The sequence below is a fragment of the Homo sapiens genome, chromosome 18 (assembly GCF_000001405.40).
Source record: "Homo sapiens chromosome 18, GRCh38.p14 Primary Assembly".
Classification (NCBI taxonomy): domain Eukaryota; kingdom Metazoa; phylum Chordata; class Mammalia; order Primates; family Hominidae; genus Homo; species Homo sapiens.
Genome location: NC_000018.10, coordinates 59,266,770 through 59,279,161, shown reverse-complemented (window position 1 = coordinate 59,279,161; position 12,392 = coordinate 59,266,770). Strand labels below are relative to the sequence as shown.

General features: G+C 51.4%; 1 protein-coding gene across 1 annotated transcript, besides 3 other annotated features; it reads left to right on the top strand.

The window, feature by feature from the left end:
• RAX (retina and anterior neural fold homeobox) lies at positions 5,708–12,124 on the top strand. The gene is made up of 3 exons (NM_013435.3): positions 5,708–6,244; positions 6,548–6,801; positions 9,661–12,124. The coding sequence occupies exons 1-3, from the start codon at positions 5,956–5,958 to the stop codon at positions 10,156–10,158; spliced, it is 1,041 nt and encodes a 346-aa protein (NP_038463.2). The 5' UTR covers positions 5,708–5,955; the 3' UTR covers positions 10,159–12,124.
• Positions 9,753–9,912: a silencer, noted in NCBI's record as "silent region_9492". NCBI's record gives its function as "represses an Ori minimal core promoter by ATAC-STARR-seq in GM12878 lymphoblastoid cells {active_cell/tissue: GM12878}" and the evidence as "EXISTENCE:reporter gene assay evidence [ECO:0000049][PMID:35858748]".
• Positions 9,873–10,383: an enhancer, noted in NCBI's record as "H3K27ac-H3K4me1 hESC enhancer chr18:56936011-56936521 (GRCh37/hg19 assembly coordinates)". NCBI's record gives its function as "activates a minimal SCP1, AML or CMV promoter by ChIP-STARR-seq in naive H9 embryonic stem cells {active_cell/tissue: H9 hESC(naive)}" and the evidence as "EXISTENCE:reporter gene assay evidence [ECO:0000049][PMID:30033119]".
• Positions 9,878–10,088: a silencer, noted in NCBI's record as "fragment chr18:56936306-56936516 (GRCh37/hg19 assembly coordinates)". NCBI's record gives its function as "represses an EF-1alpha promoter that drives an FKBP-Casp9 reporter gene in an ReSE screen in phorbol 12-myristate 13-acetate-treated (for megakaryocytic differentiation) K562 erythroleukemia cells {active_cell/tissue: K562(+PMA)}" and the evidence as "EXISTENCE:reporter gene assay evidence [ECO:0000049][PMID:32094911]".

Here is a 12,392-nt window from a genome sequence, read left to right as displayed (position 1 = left end):
GTACAACAAATATATTCCTCCACAATTCATGCACTGACTTTCTCTAACTATAAGCGTGGGGCATCTGAGTGTAACAGCCTGAGAGCTCAGCATGGCGGTGCTAATGCCAGAGTGCCCAGTGGACACCCTGGGAGTCTGGGACCCGGCCTCCAGTCCAAGCCCTAGTACAAACATTCTGTCTCACCTTGGGCTAACTGCTTAATTTCTCTGGGCCCACACATTTTTCACATCTAAAATGTTAAAATGGGGGCTAGAAATAAGAGAACAGAACAGATAATCATCAAAGTTCGTTTTCTAAATCTTCAATATACGATCCCCTGAAATAACAGGACACTAAGTGGGAGGGCAGTTTTAAGTGATGCTGTTTCCAAAAATATCATAATTGGGAAACAATGGAAATTCCCAAGGAGGAGACTTCTTGCTAATTGCTGGATGGTCTGCAGAGAGCTGTGGTCCCTATTTTTAAGTGAAAGGAAGGCTTTCAAACAGGGTATTACTGCTGGGAAACAACAGCTCTCAACTGCCCTTCATTTCGTCTTGTGACGAGATGAAATGCTTGCTTCCATATGCCCATCTGCGAGGGCTCTCAATTAAACCCATAATGTCTACATGAGGCCCATCTCTTTGTTGGTTTATGGTCTTTCAGCCACGATTATCTGATGGGGTTATTATTCACTACACTATCCTTATATCAACATTTGCTTCAATCTAGTCTGAAAATACTAGAGAACATCCAGATTGTCATAGTAAGAGGTAAACTACTATACTGGAAATGTCTTTATCATATGTGTCAAGGTCATATATTTATGAAAGTGGCCAAGGATATTCATTGTTAGTTGCCCGCATGTAAAAATGGGGTTCTGGTAGGCACCTCTAAGAACATTTTTCTGATATACCTTGTGGGTTGCTTCAAGTAGCTAATGTTTCATAAATGAGGGAGATCTGGTAGTGAGAGATGAACAAGCATAGTGTATTTTATCTCTGGATGCAATGTCAGTATTTAAAAGAGCTTAGCTAGTGATATTTTTGCAACCATTGCCAGCAACTCGCCCATGATATGCAATATATAATACAATATAGGGGAGAATTCACAGCATCAAAGGCCAATGCTGAAAAATATCTTTTAGATGCTTAAATATATATTGTTCACAAACCACTGAGAGTGATTTGAAACTCAGAACAGAGAAAACTCCCTAAGCTTCATGAGATAGCCTTGGAAAGTTGAATGGCATACTTATTATTATTTTTTTTTAGCAAACCTGTAACCATCTTAAATGACTTAATAAATTATAGGCCATCCACCATACCTTTCTCATCCCCACATCACTCTGAACTATATTATTCTTGTTACCTTTGACTCCCAAATTTTCTTGCTTTAATTTATCTGCTGGTTCTCTTATGGCCACTGGAGAATTAATGGTGCATGTTAATACACATACCGTGTTGGGGGTAGCACACATGGTGGGCAGAAGGAAGCATTCCTGAGTAAAACACCTAGGTTCAGATCCTGGCTCTACTTGAAACCAGCTGTGTGACCTTGGACATGCTACAGAACCTCTCTGTATTTCAGTTTCCTCATCTGTAAAGTAGGGATAATAATAGTGTCTACTGGCCAGGTGCGGTGGCTCAAGCCTGTAATCCCAGCATTTTTGGAGGTTAAGGCAGGAACATTGCTTGAGCCCAGGAGTTAAAGACCAGCCTGGGCAACATGGCGAAAACCCATCTCTACAAAAAAATACAAAAATTAGCTGGATGTGATGGCCTGCACCTGTAGTCCCAGCTTTGCAGGAAGCTGAGGTGGGAGGATACTTGAGCCCAAGAGGTTGAGGCTGCAGTGAGCTGTGATCATGTTACTGCACTCCAGCCTGGGCAACAGAGCCAGACTCTGTCTCTAATAATAATAATAATAGCAGCATCTACATCATAGGATTATCGTAAGAACTAAATTGGGCAATTCATGTAAAATAATACTCAAAAGCTTATGGCATATACCCACTGACATGTACTTAGCATTCAATAAATAGTAGCTCTTGTATGTATTCTTAACTCTTGACAACTGAATTTGTTGAACTTCAGTGTGTGTGTATGGTGTGTGTGCGTGTTTAGTGATTATATGAGTTGTGTTTTGCTCTGGCTAAAACTAAAAGTAAGTTGCCTTTCTTGCACGTGTATCAGCTAGTGGGAGGAGGAGGTCCTCGAATATGGCGTGACACAGGGGGAGTTATTCCAGGATTAAAATACATCTGCTATGGGGAAAATCTACATGCAGACAATCAAGTTTATTTGATACACTTTACGAATTGATATATCATAGGCCTTTCCACAGACATTTTCACCCTAATGTAAAACATCGCTGAGAGGTGAAATGACTAGAGACTGTGGCTGAATGTCCTTAATTCACCGCTCTCCCTCTCCTTCTCCGTCCAGTGCACAGGGATATGCATGTCTCCCCCGTGTTGTAGGTGAGACTGTTCATCCAGAATACTTCCAGAAATTGGACCTTCTCCATACAGCCACGATCAAGGAGTCGCTTTATACTACAACTTCCTCACGTTTGGAAATGTGTGTCTCCCAACCATCCGAAGTTTAATGGGGCTTTAGCTGTGTCTAAGGTTGGCCGCAGGTGGGGGATGGAAGGAGGGGTTTTCTTTGATCCATCTAATGAATTAATGAATTAATCAGAGGTGGGGTTCAGAAGCCAGGCTCCTTACTGTTGCTGAAGCAGGGCTGATTATGAGCTAGCCTAACTGCTGGAAAAATGCAGCTTCATGCTAGAAGAATTAGGGACATGGCCCAGTCCATTCATCTTCCCTAATCGAGTTCTTGGGAAATACACACGTAGATTAGCCCCTAACAATGACCCCCGGCTGATTGCTTGGAGTACCCTCCACCGTGCCCACAATGGTACTGACTAGCTCTTTATGTCCTGCACAAAGGAAGCCCCAACTCCCCCTTGTCCTCCTCTGCCCTGTCTCCCCCACCCCCATCACCACCACCCCTGCCCTCGCCAGTGGCTGTTGAAGTCTTTTCTGCTTTTTTCCCCAGACTCTGAAACAAACAGTAAATAAAAGCTAACCTCACCTGGACTTATTAGGAGGAGCTGGGCAGTTCCAGAGGAATTAACTTTGGAAAACAAGGCCATAAACCCCTTAGCAGCGTGTGGGCAGGAGCTTAAGGAAACGCTGCCAATCTTTGTTTAGCGGTGATTATCGAGATCAATTTAATATTGGGGAAGTTTGCATAAAAAGCATTCTCGGTCAGAGGGGGAACAACAAATACCAATTAATTATCCCCACAGCTGCCCTCTGATCACCACCACCTCAGCACGTCAGCCACCTGGTCTATGTCACTGGCAGTCAGACCTTTTCGGGTGCCACCAGGCCATTTGTGGGCCCTGGAAAGGTGGAGGAGGGGCGGAGGAGGAGGCAAAACCTGGTCTGTCAGGGGACTTTCCAGAGGGTTTGTTAATTTGCCCTGGATGCCGGTACCCAAAGCCCACTCTCTATAGGCTCTGACTTTATTTCTTCTGGGAGCTAAACTGCTTCTACCTCCGCCTCTTAGATGCAGAATCCAGTCTCAGGGAAGGATTAAAGACAGACTGCAGGCTAAGATGGGCTTTGATTCTTTTCAAAAAGATCACACACTACAATAATAATTACAAATGAGCTGCAGGCAGAAAACACTGGACAAGGAGTCAGTGGCCTGAGTTCTAGTCCTGACCCTTCCACTTAATAGCTGTATCACTTTGAGCCTCAGTTTCCTCTTCTGTAAAATGGGGACCAATATGTCTGTCCTGCTCACCTCACAAGGTTGTGAAGATCAGATGACATGAAGAATGTGAGAAGATTCTGAAACCTACAAAGTGACATGTCGAGAGAATTGCTTGAGCCCAGGAGTTCCAGGCTGCAGTGAGCCACCATCATGCCACTGCACTCCAGCCTGGGCAACAGAGAGGGACCCTGTCTCTAAAATAAACAGACAAATAAATAATAAGTAAATAAAGTAATATGTGAACACTGTAAAGTGCTATTAACTTTCATTAATTTTAGCTTTTTTCTTAAAAGATAATTTCTGACTTGAATTAGTTCAATTTCTATCTCCTGCAGTCACATGCTTGCCCTTATTTTAGTTTGCCATTATATAGTTTTATTAAAAGTAGATATGCCCATCATGGGGAATTAACCATTGAATGATCCTTAAGAAATTGACTTGTCCTCCGCAAACATCCTTCTAACACCAATTTAAAGGTTGGGGATCTGAGGATGTGTGTTTTCCCTCTTCCTTTGTCTTGTCTTCCAGACTGGACGTTAAACTCCACCAGGCCAACGGCCCTGGCCTTTCCCAATTTGTTTGATGCCCACGACGTGGCCCTCGACGGTTGCCTTGCCCTCTAAAGGGACGCAGCAAACGCTTGTCTGAACGCAAGCGGGATAAAGAAGACACCCCTGCTGTGGAGATCAGAGCGCCTACTGAAAAGGAGATTTTAGGGATATTGTCCTCTAGGTCCTTGAGCTTTTATAGGAAAGCATTTTAATTCACGGTTCAGGCCACCAGTTCAGGGAAGGCCAAGCGCTCGCCTCGGGTCTCGCCTCAGATTTGAGGGGTGAGACGTTCACAGCGCCATTGTCCATCCGCGCTGCTGGAGGTGAAACACACTCACCCTATCCAATCATCTTTCCAAGTGGCCGATCAGTCACTGTGGGCCACGGAAGCCTCGAGGGGGTCCAAAGGAGAAAGAACTGCAAGCCAATTACTCCTGAACCCTCGGGGAGGCGAGAGGCCTCTTCCCCGGGAGAAGGTCCTTCCCCAGCCAGCTCTGGGCCATCTCCTTGGCCCGGAGTGTTGGAGGGAGGCGGGAGTGCGACACCGCTGCTCATCAGTAAAGGAGCCCGCCCTCCCCGCAGGACAAGGGGCGGGAGCGAGGAACTCCAGGTGGGTCTCCTGCGGGACCTGAGCCCGGCAGCACATCCGACTCGGGGCTCCCAGTCTCCTGCTGGGCGATCGGGCGCTAGAGGTCACCGGACTTGCGGACATAAATGGCCCTGGGGTGGGCGCTGCGGGGAAGGAGGGAGGCTGCCGGCGCTCAAGTCCGAGGGGACTGGGAGGAGTTACAACAGATATAGACGGACAAACTAAACGCGAGGTCCGGGACTTCGTACAACCCAGCCAAGAAAGGAGTGGGTCCCGAAAAGGGAGCCAGCGAGGGGAAATTCAAACTGCGACGAGTGCGGGGCTGGGAAGCCTTCGGCTGGGTCTCGGCGCTTCCAGGGGGCACAGGCCAGGGTGGCGGCCCCGCGGAGGTGAGCCAGAGGGGGCTAGAGGGGCGAGTCTGAAGCTGGGGAGGGGTGCGTCCAAGGAGGGAGGTGACCCCCAGGGGGTAGTCTGAAGTGAGAGGGTAAGCCCGAAGTAGAGGGAGACAAACGCAAGGGGAGAGATGAGCCCAAGGGCGTCGGCCCCACTGAGGCAGGACTAGGGGTGCGCCGCGACCAGGTTCCCGAGCCCATCAGGCATCCCGCCGCGGATCCCCGGAGTGTGTTTGTAAAGCTTAAAACGGATCAAGAGGTGGAAGGGGAATATTCCTAGTGCCGGCCCAGGGGTGGCCACTAGAGGACCCTGTGGCTGGGCCGGGTGAGGACACGCCCCTCTGTGGAGGGAGGGGCCGAGAGAAGGGGCTGGGTCCAGGGCGAGAGGGGAGGAGCCGAGGGCCAGTTGGCTCCCCGCCTTTAGCGCCGAGAGCCCCAGCTACCCCGAGCCCGAACTTCCGACTTCTGGGACTAAGGCGGCAGCGGGCTGAGCGCTCGGCCACCCCCAGCGTGCGCAGCCCGGGCGGGCTTCGCCCGCGGAGCTTGACCTAGGGTCGGGACCCGTCGGGTTGCACCGCCGCACTCGGGAAGACCCGGCTTCGAGCCTCTCCTCTCCGTCTCCAAAGCGCCCTCCCGCCTCCCGGCGCTCCCCATGCACCTGCCGGGCTGCGCGCCAGCCATGGCCGACGGGAGCTTCTCGCTTGCCGGCCACCTGCTCCGCAGCCCGGGCGGGAGCACCTCGCGACTTCACAGCATCGAGGCCATCCTGGGGTTTACCAAGGACGACGGGATCCTCGGCACCTTCCCGGCGGAGCGGGGCGCCCGGGGCGCGAAGGAGCGGGATAGGAGGCTGGGCGCGCGGCCCGCCTGCCCCAAGGCGCCCGAGGAAGGCTCCGAGCCCTCCCCGCCGCCAGCCCCGGCGCCCGCCCCCGAGTACGAAGGTGAGTGCGCACCCCTGGCTGTGCGAGGCCGTTCGGGCGCCCGAGCTTAGGAGTTGGCCAGACGAGAGCGCCCCTTCCTTAACTTTTATTAAGGCAACTGGGCGCGGGGTTGGGGACCGTCTATGGCGGGAGCTTCCAATTTGCATTCAGAGAAAGCTTAGGACCCATCGCCGCCCTCACCACGGACCTCCCCGGGCCATCTCGGAGCCCGCAGGCGGGCTGGCCAGTGCCCACAGCGAGGCGGGGTCGGCCCAAGGGTGTTTTGGGGAGTGCATCTGACCCTCCCGGGCCTCGTCGCCCCAGCCCCTCGACCCTACTGCCCCAAGGAGCCCGGGGAGGCACGGCCGAGCCCAGGGCTGCCCGTCGGGCCAGCCACCGGCGAAGCGAAACTGTCAGAGGAGGAACAGCCCAAGAAAAAGCATCGGCGGAACCGCACGACTTTCACCACGTACCAGCTGCATGAGCTGGAGCGCGCGTTCGAGAAGTCCCACTACCCGGACGTGTACAGCCGCGAGGAGCTGGCCGGCAAGGTCAACCTACCAGAGGTCCGGGTCCAGGTAAAGCGCCCAGGTTGAGGAACTGGGATCTGGGAGGGCCCGAGGCCCAAATTGCAGCCAATGCTTCTCGGAATTCACGGGTGTCCATGCATTTATTACTGTCCTTCCTCGACTTGGCATGCCCAGAGTCTCAAGGGAGAGGCACAGATCTTCGATGTTCCCTGTGCATCGCCCTTCAAGCAGTCTGTTCCAGTTTGTAGTACGAGCTCCCCTTTGGGGGTTTCCCTCTTCTAAACTCAAAATAGAAGATGGGAATGACTTGCAAGATGAAGAGGCCGACAGCTCATTAGACATAGCCAGGAAGGGGTTGGGGGTTGCTGAGTGGAAATGGAATGCAGGTAGTGATCGAGGGTGACAGGATTGGGGCCCCAAATGCCACCCTCGTCACTAGCTGCGAATACCGAGTTGGAAACGAAAACCCTGTTTCCTTGCGAAGGGCCTGGCACCTCGCAGTTGAAACTTCGGGTGGATTTATTTAAGAAACTGACTTTTCCTTTTCTGGTGCACATCCAACCAAACTTCTCGCTGCAAAGGCCTTTTCTTTTTATTGTAAAGGGGTTTTCGCTTTAATTAAAGCTGAATTATCTTTAATCCCTGATCATTAAAATATTTGAAAGCCTTAAATATTTGCTAGTCATCTGTGAAAAATCTGGGAGGATTTCCAAATTGGGAGAGTTTACAGAGGGCTGAAAGAGAGACATTGGGAACAAATTTCACTGCATCTGAAAGGCAGTGGAACTAAGATGGGATTTTTGTGTGTGTCTAATAAATTAGATTTCCAGGAAATGAGAACACTCAAGTGTTCGGAGCTTTTATCCATGTCTTAAAAGTAAAAGAGGACAAGCTGCTGCTTTTTCTTTTCTGCTTAGTTTAAGAGTTGAAAGTAATGAGTAAAAGTCATGGCTTAAAAAATATAATTCCCTAATGTGACTTGGGATTAACCAGCAAGGACAGTTCAATGTCTCCTAATTTGGGGCAGTAAAGCTGCAGTGATTTCACTGAAGGGGTGGAAATTTTATCACCTGCTTTCAAAAAAAGAAGGATGGGAGAGGGAATGAATACAAGAGAAAGAGTAGAGGCAAAGCCTTCCAGTACCCTACAGAATCCAAGCAAAGCAGACTCAGCTCCCTGGGCACTTGAGCCCACCTGCATCCTCCCTCATTACTTGTTCAGGAGTTTTGGCTTCTCCTCTAAGTTGTGAGATTCTTGAGAACAGTGTCTGTGACTTCTTTGTGACCACAGGGCCAGCACAGCACCCAGCATATGGCCATTCTTAACACATGACTATGATGTAATCAGATGGTAGAGATACTAGGCAGGATCTCCCACACCGAGGGCAGCAGTAGAGCATTGCAATAACCGACCTCAATCCTTCAGTCTATAACCTGGGACACTAGATCTGAAGGCTACAGCTGATGTGGTAGGGAATTGAGTGGGACAGACAGGGAAGCCGAGAAGGTGGTGGGACAGGAGCCCTCACCCAAATCAGTGTTTCTTTTCTCTACTGTTGGCAAGTATCTAATATTTAAGGGAGACTTGAGGCCTTAGATATGCAGATGAATCTTTTCTAGGATGGTACAGGGTACTTACACTTTTGTTGTTTCTCTTTTTCTCCCTAATTGCAGCCTCTCACACACTTGCCCTGCGGTGCTTGGGTGCTGGATTGCTGTTCTTTCAGCTCTCCTCGGGGGTCCCCTGCCCTTATTGACTGAAAACTACTTTCTCCCTTCTGAGGTTGCAACAATCTCCCCATTTCCCTTCATAAATATAGCACTAAAGCCACCAGTTTGGCTGAAATTCTTTTGTGTTCTCTACTAAACGGATTCTCTGTCTTGCCTGTGAAGGTGGAACTGGTAGTAAAAATGTAATTACACATATTCCAGCACTTTTATCAAATCAGTAATGAAGTTTCATTGGAAGAACCCGACGTTACTCTTGGCAAGGACTTCGTACAGATAAAGAAGAAGAAGCAAAAAACCTTGTCATTGAGCTAAGGTCTTAGGGTAATGTCAAAATTAACTTTGTAATGTAAAAGTAGATATAATAGACTGGAATGATTGTACTCCTTGAAAGTAATAACAAACAGCAGAAATAGTAAGCAGACATTAATTAAATAAAAATAAAAATATTAAAGCAGCAATTCAAATATGGTTGGGGCAAAATAAACCCCACTTGCTCCTATCTAGTTATCATAACCAGTAATCCGTGAAAAGAGCTGAATTTTAACGCCCATTCTTGCCAATTACTCTACTTAACAATATTTATTTATACCTGTATTTAGAGACAAAGGGTAGGTAAAGCAGAGAAAGTCTGAGACCAAAATACAGCAACTTAGATCTGTACCATACAGAGAACAAGCAAGTCTAAACTGTTAGGAGGGGCTGCCAACCAGAAGGTCACAGAAAATTGGTGAGATCTCGTTTCAAAGTTCTACGATTCGATTGCGGAGTTAAATTCACTTTTTTTTTCTGAGCTTCTGCTACGCACTAGGAGTTGGAAACAGATACAACCACAGCTATGGATAAACAGAGAAAAGGGTGGGACGCCACGGAGGACTAGGATGGGACAAAGAGACTCAGAAGAGGCGATAATGGAGAGAAGAGGCCAAAAAAAAAAAAAAAAGAGAGAGAGAGAGAGAGAGAAAGGGGATGGAAAAGAAAAGAGAACGCGGGGTGGGAGGAGTAGGAGTGGGTGGAAGGAAGGAAGATCCGGGCCTCTCTCGGCACATGCATAACAGTTGCGCCCCTAGTTTTATTTGAGGGGGACGGAGTGGAGCCCGCCGAGCTGAACCGGCTCAGGGTTGGGGACGCGGCCGCAGCCTCCGCTGCTGCCCGACGGCCCCTGTGCTCTCTCCTGCAGGTGTGGTTCCAGAACCGACGGGCTAAGTGGCGGCGGCAGGAGAAGCTGGAAGTGTCCTCCATGAAGCTGCAGGACTCGCCCCTCCTCTCCTTCAGCCGCTCCCCGCCCTCCGCGACGCTGTCGCCCCTCGGGGCGGGCCCGGGCAGCGGTGGCGGGCCGGCTGGGGGCGCGCTGCCGCTGGAGTCCTGGCTCGGGCCGCCGCTGCCGGGCGGGGGCGCCACGGCGCTGCAGAGCCTGCCGGGCTTCGGGCCGCCGGCGCAGAGCCTGCCTGCCAGCTACACGCCACCGCCGCCGCCTCCGCCCTTCCTGAACTCCCCGCCGTTGGGCCCCGGCCTGCAACCTCTCGCGCCGCCGCCGCCCTCCTACCCGTGCGGGCCCGGCTTCGGGGACAAGTTCCCGCTGGACGAGGCGGACCCGCGCAACAGCAGCATCGCGGCGCTGCGTCTGAAAGCCAAGGAGCACATCCAGGCCATCGGGAAGCCGTGGCAGGCCCTCTAGGGGCACTGGGGAACGTCTTGGGATCCGACCCCGGGCCGACCGCACCGTACCCGCATCCTCTCTCCCAGGGACAACCCCCCTCCCCAGCTCGGCCCCTCTTTCCCTGTCGCCTGCAGCCACCCGCCAAGCATAGTTCAGGGCCACGCGCCTGCTCCCGATGCACGGGGAGAAGGGCGACTTTCAGGCCTGAGGAGAGGCCCTCTGGCCGCCTCAACGCACTTCGCGGACCTCAGCCCTGCAGCTGGAGGGCAACAGGCTGCCGGGCCCCGCTGGCCACGCCGCTCCCATCACCGCAGGCGCTGGAGCCTCCAGGCCCAAACAGGCTGAAGCTCCTAAACTTGGCCATTCCCAGGAGGCTTGGAGACCCCCAGATAACCATAACAGGGAAGCAGGGGAGGCGGAAAAATAGAGTTTGAGAAACTTTTGTATAAGTAGTTTCAAACTATTTGAGAGGAGAATTAAAGACATGCTTGTTTTGTTTCGACTCTGTTTAAGCACGCTCAGGACTTGGGGAGAGGAGTGAATATTGGGGTACGGGAGGAGGGTGCGTTGACGGACAGGGTGGGTCAGGGAAAGAGGAGGACTGAGAAGAAGCTCAGGGTTTCCTTGTGAAAATTCTAGGGACACTTCGCTGCAGCAGAGAATCGTCCCCATTCCGAACGCTTCGGCGGCCTAGACCAGAGGCGCCCTTCCCTGGAGCCGGCGTGCGCGCTTGGGGTCCGGAGTGGATGGGGCTAAGGCTCAGATGCTAGCGCGCTCCCAGTTCCCCCGCTAGCCCCATAGTCCAGCGGCAGCTGATATTTTCAAGTTTGACTTCAATAGAAAGCGTCAAGACCACCTTCCCTAGGGCGAGAGCGAAGTGTCCCCCGGCCCCTGGCGTCCCCGCTCTCCTAAGGACTCCTCTCAGTTCACCAAGCAGATCTCCGGTTCGGTGCCAGTCCCTAACACCCAAGGTTGATCACCAGCGGTACAAGAACTGAGGCAAAGAGATGCTTTTCCTTTTCGGAGCCGCGAGACTCTCTAACCTCCCCAACTCGCTCCACACTCGCCAACCCAGAGTTCGGTAAAAGGCGCGTCTGGTGAGGTGCCGCGCTCGGAGAGTGTCCTGGAGCGCCCTACGCCACCGCCCCGAGAGCTAGTTCTTGCGGGCGTGCCCTGGACAGTATCTGCAGTTCTTTGGCGCCGGCTCTAGGGCGAGGAAGGAATCTCGAAATCTCAGCCCGCTTCACAATCTCCTGAGACTCTCTGAAGAAGGAGAGTCCCGGACTCCCGCCTGAGCGTGCTCGATATCCACCGTTGACACTGGAAGCTGGGCGACCGCCAGCAGAACCTGGATGCCCGCCAACAGGTCCTGGCACGGGGGGGGGGGGGGCGTCCACCCCACAACCCCCGTCCCTAAGCGTGCTTTCAGGATGATGCCCCCAGAGCCTTAATTAGCATCAACTGGCTACTGTCTGTCGGTCCTGAGCAAATTAGTGAAGCTCCCAGTCCCCTTTCCTCGTCTAAATAAACTCTGTCTCTCTGGAAGGTGGGAAAGATGGAATAAGATCACCTGTAAAGGCTTTGTGGAAAGTACCAAGACCCTGGCATGACGCAATATGGATTGTAATCATCGTCCCCATTTCCCCGAAATTCCCTGGCTGTTCTCCGGTTCCTGAAACCGACTTGGGAAAAGGATGACCACGCTGGAGCTGGGAATATGGGAAGCCTCATCATAGTTTCCAGTCCTTTCTCTGCGGGTCTAAGAGGCTATTGCATAACCAGGGCTGTGTACCCCTAGACCTCCAGATGGTGCCTTGCACACAGTAGGCTGATCAGTAAAAATGTACTGAATAAATTATTCCCCCCCAAGAGGTAGGGAGTAATATCTGCACTTTTCCTCACAAGGATGTCTCCTTGGGGGAGGAGGATGGAGCAGCCCGTGTGTTATCACCTTTTAGCAAGAAAACAAAACAAAACAAAACCAGAATGAATGTGTGTTTGGCCTATCATTTGTTTCATTCTTTCATTCCCTAGGGATGATTTATTTACAGAACTTCCAACTTCATGGGCTCCAAGTGAGTACCACACGTGCCCTGTCCTCCTTCTTACCGCAGTCTTGGGCACCTGTGACCTTGAGCATGCCACCGTCAGCATCTTCTTCACTTCCCTTAGATCATTGCCAAGATTATCCATTTCTTCTCCTCTGTGCTGTTTTTCAATTCTTTCCTTATGAGTTTTTCTGCTACTTCCCC

Excerpts from the sequence above, each read along its gene's own strand:
- RAX (NM_013435.3), top strand. The coding sequence starts at position 5,956 with ATGCACCTGCCGGGCTGCGCGCCAGCCATGGCCGACGGGAGCTTCTCG. Across the intron at positions 6,245-6,547 it reads GCCCGCCCCCGAGTACGAAG|CCCCTCGACCCTACTGCCCC; the intron begins GTGAGTGCGCAC and ends TCGTCGCCCCAG. Across the intron at positions 6,802-9,660 it reads TACCAGAGGTCCGGGTCCAG|GTGTGGTTCCAGAACCGACG; the intron begins GTAAAGCGCCCA and ends TCTCTCCTGCAG.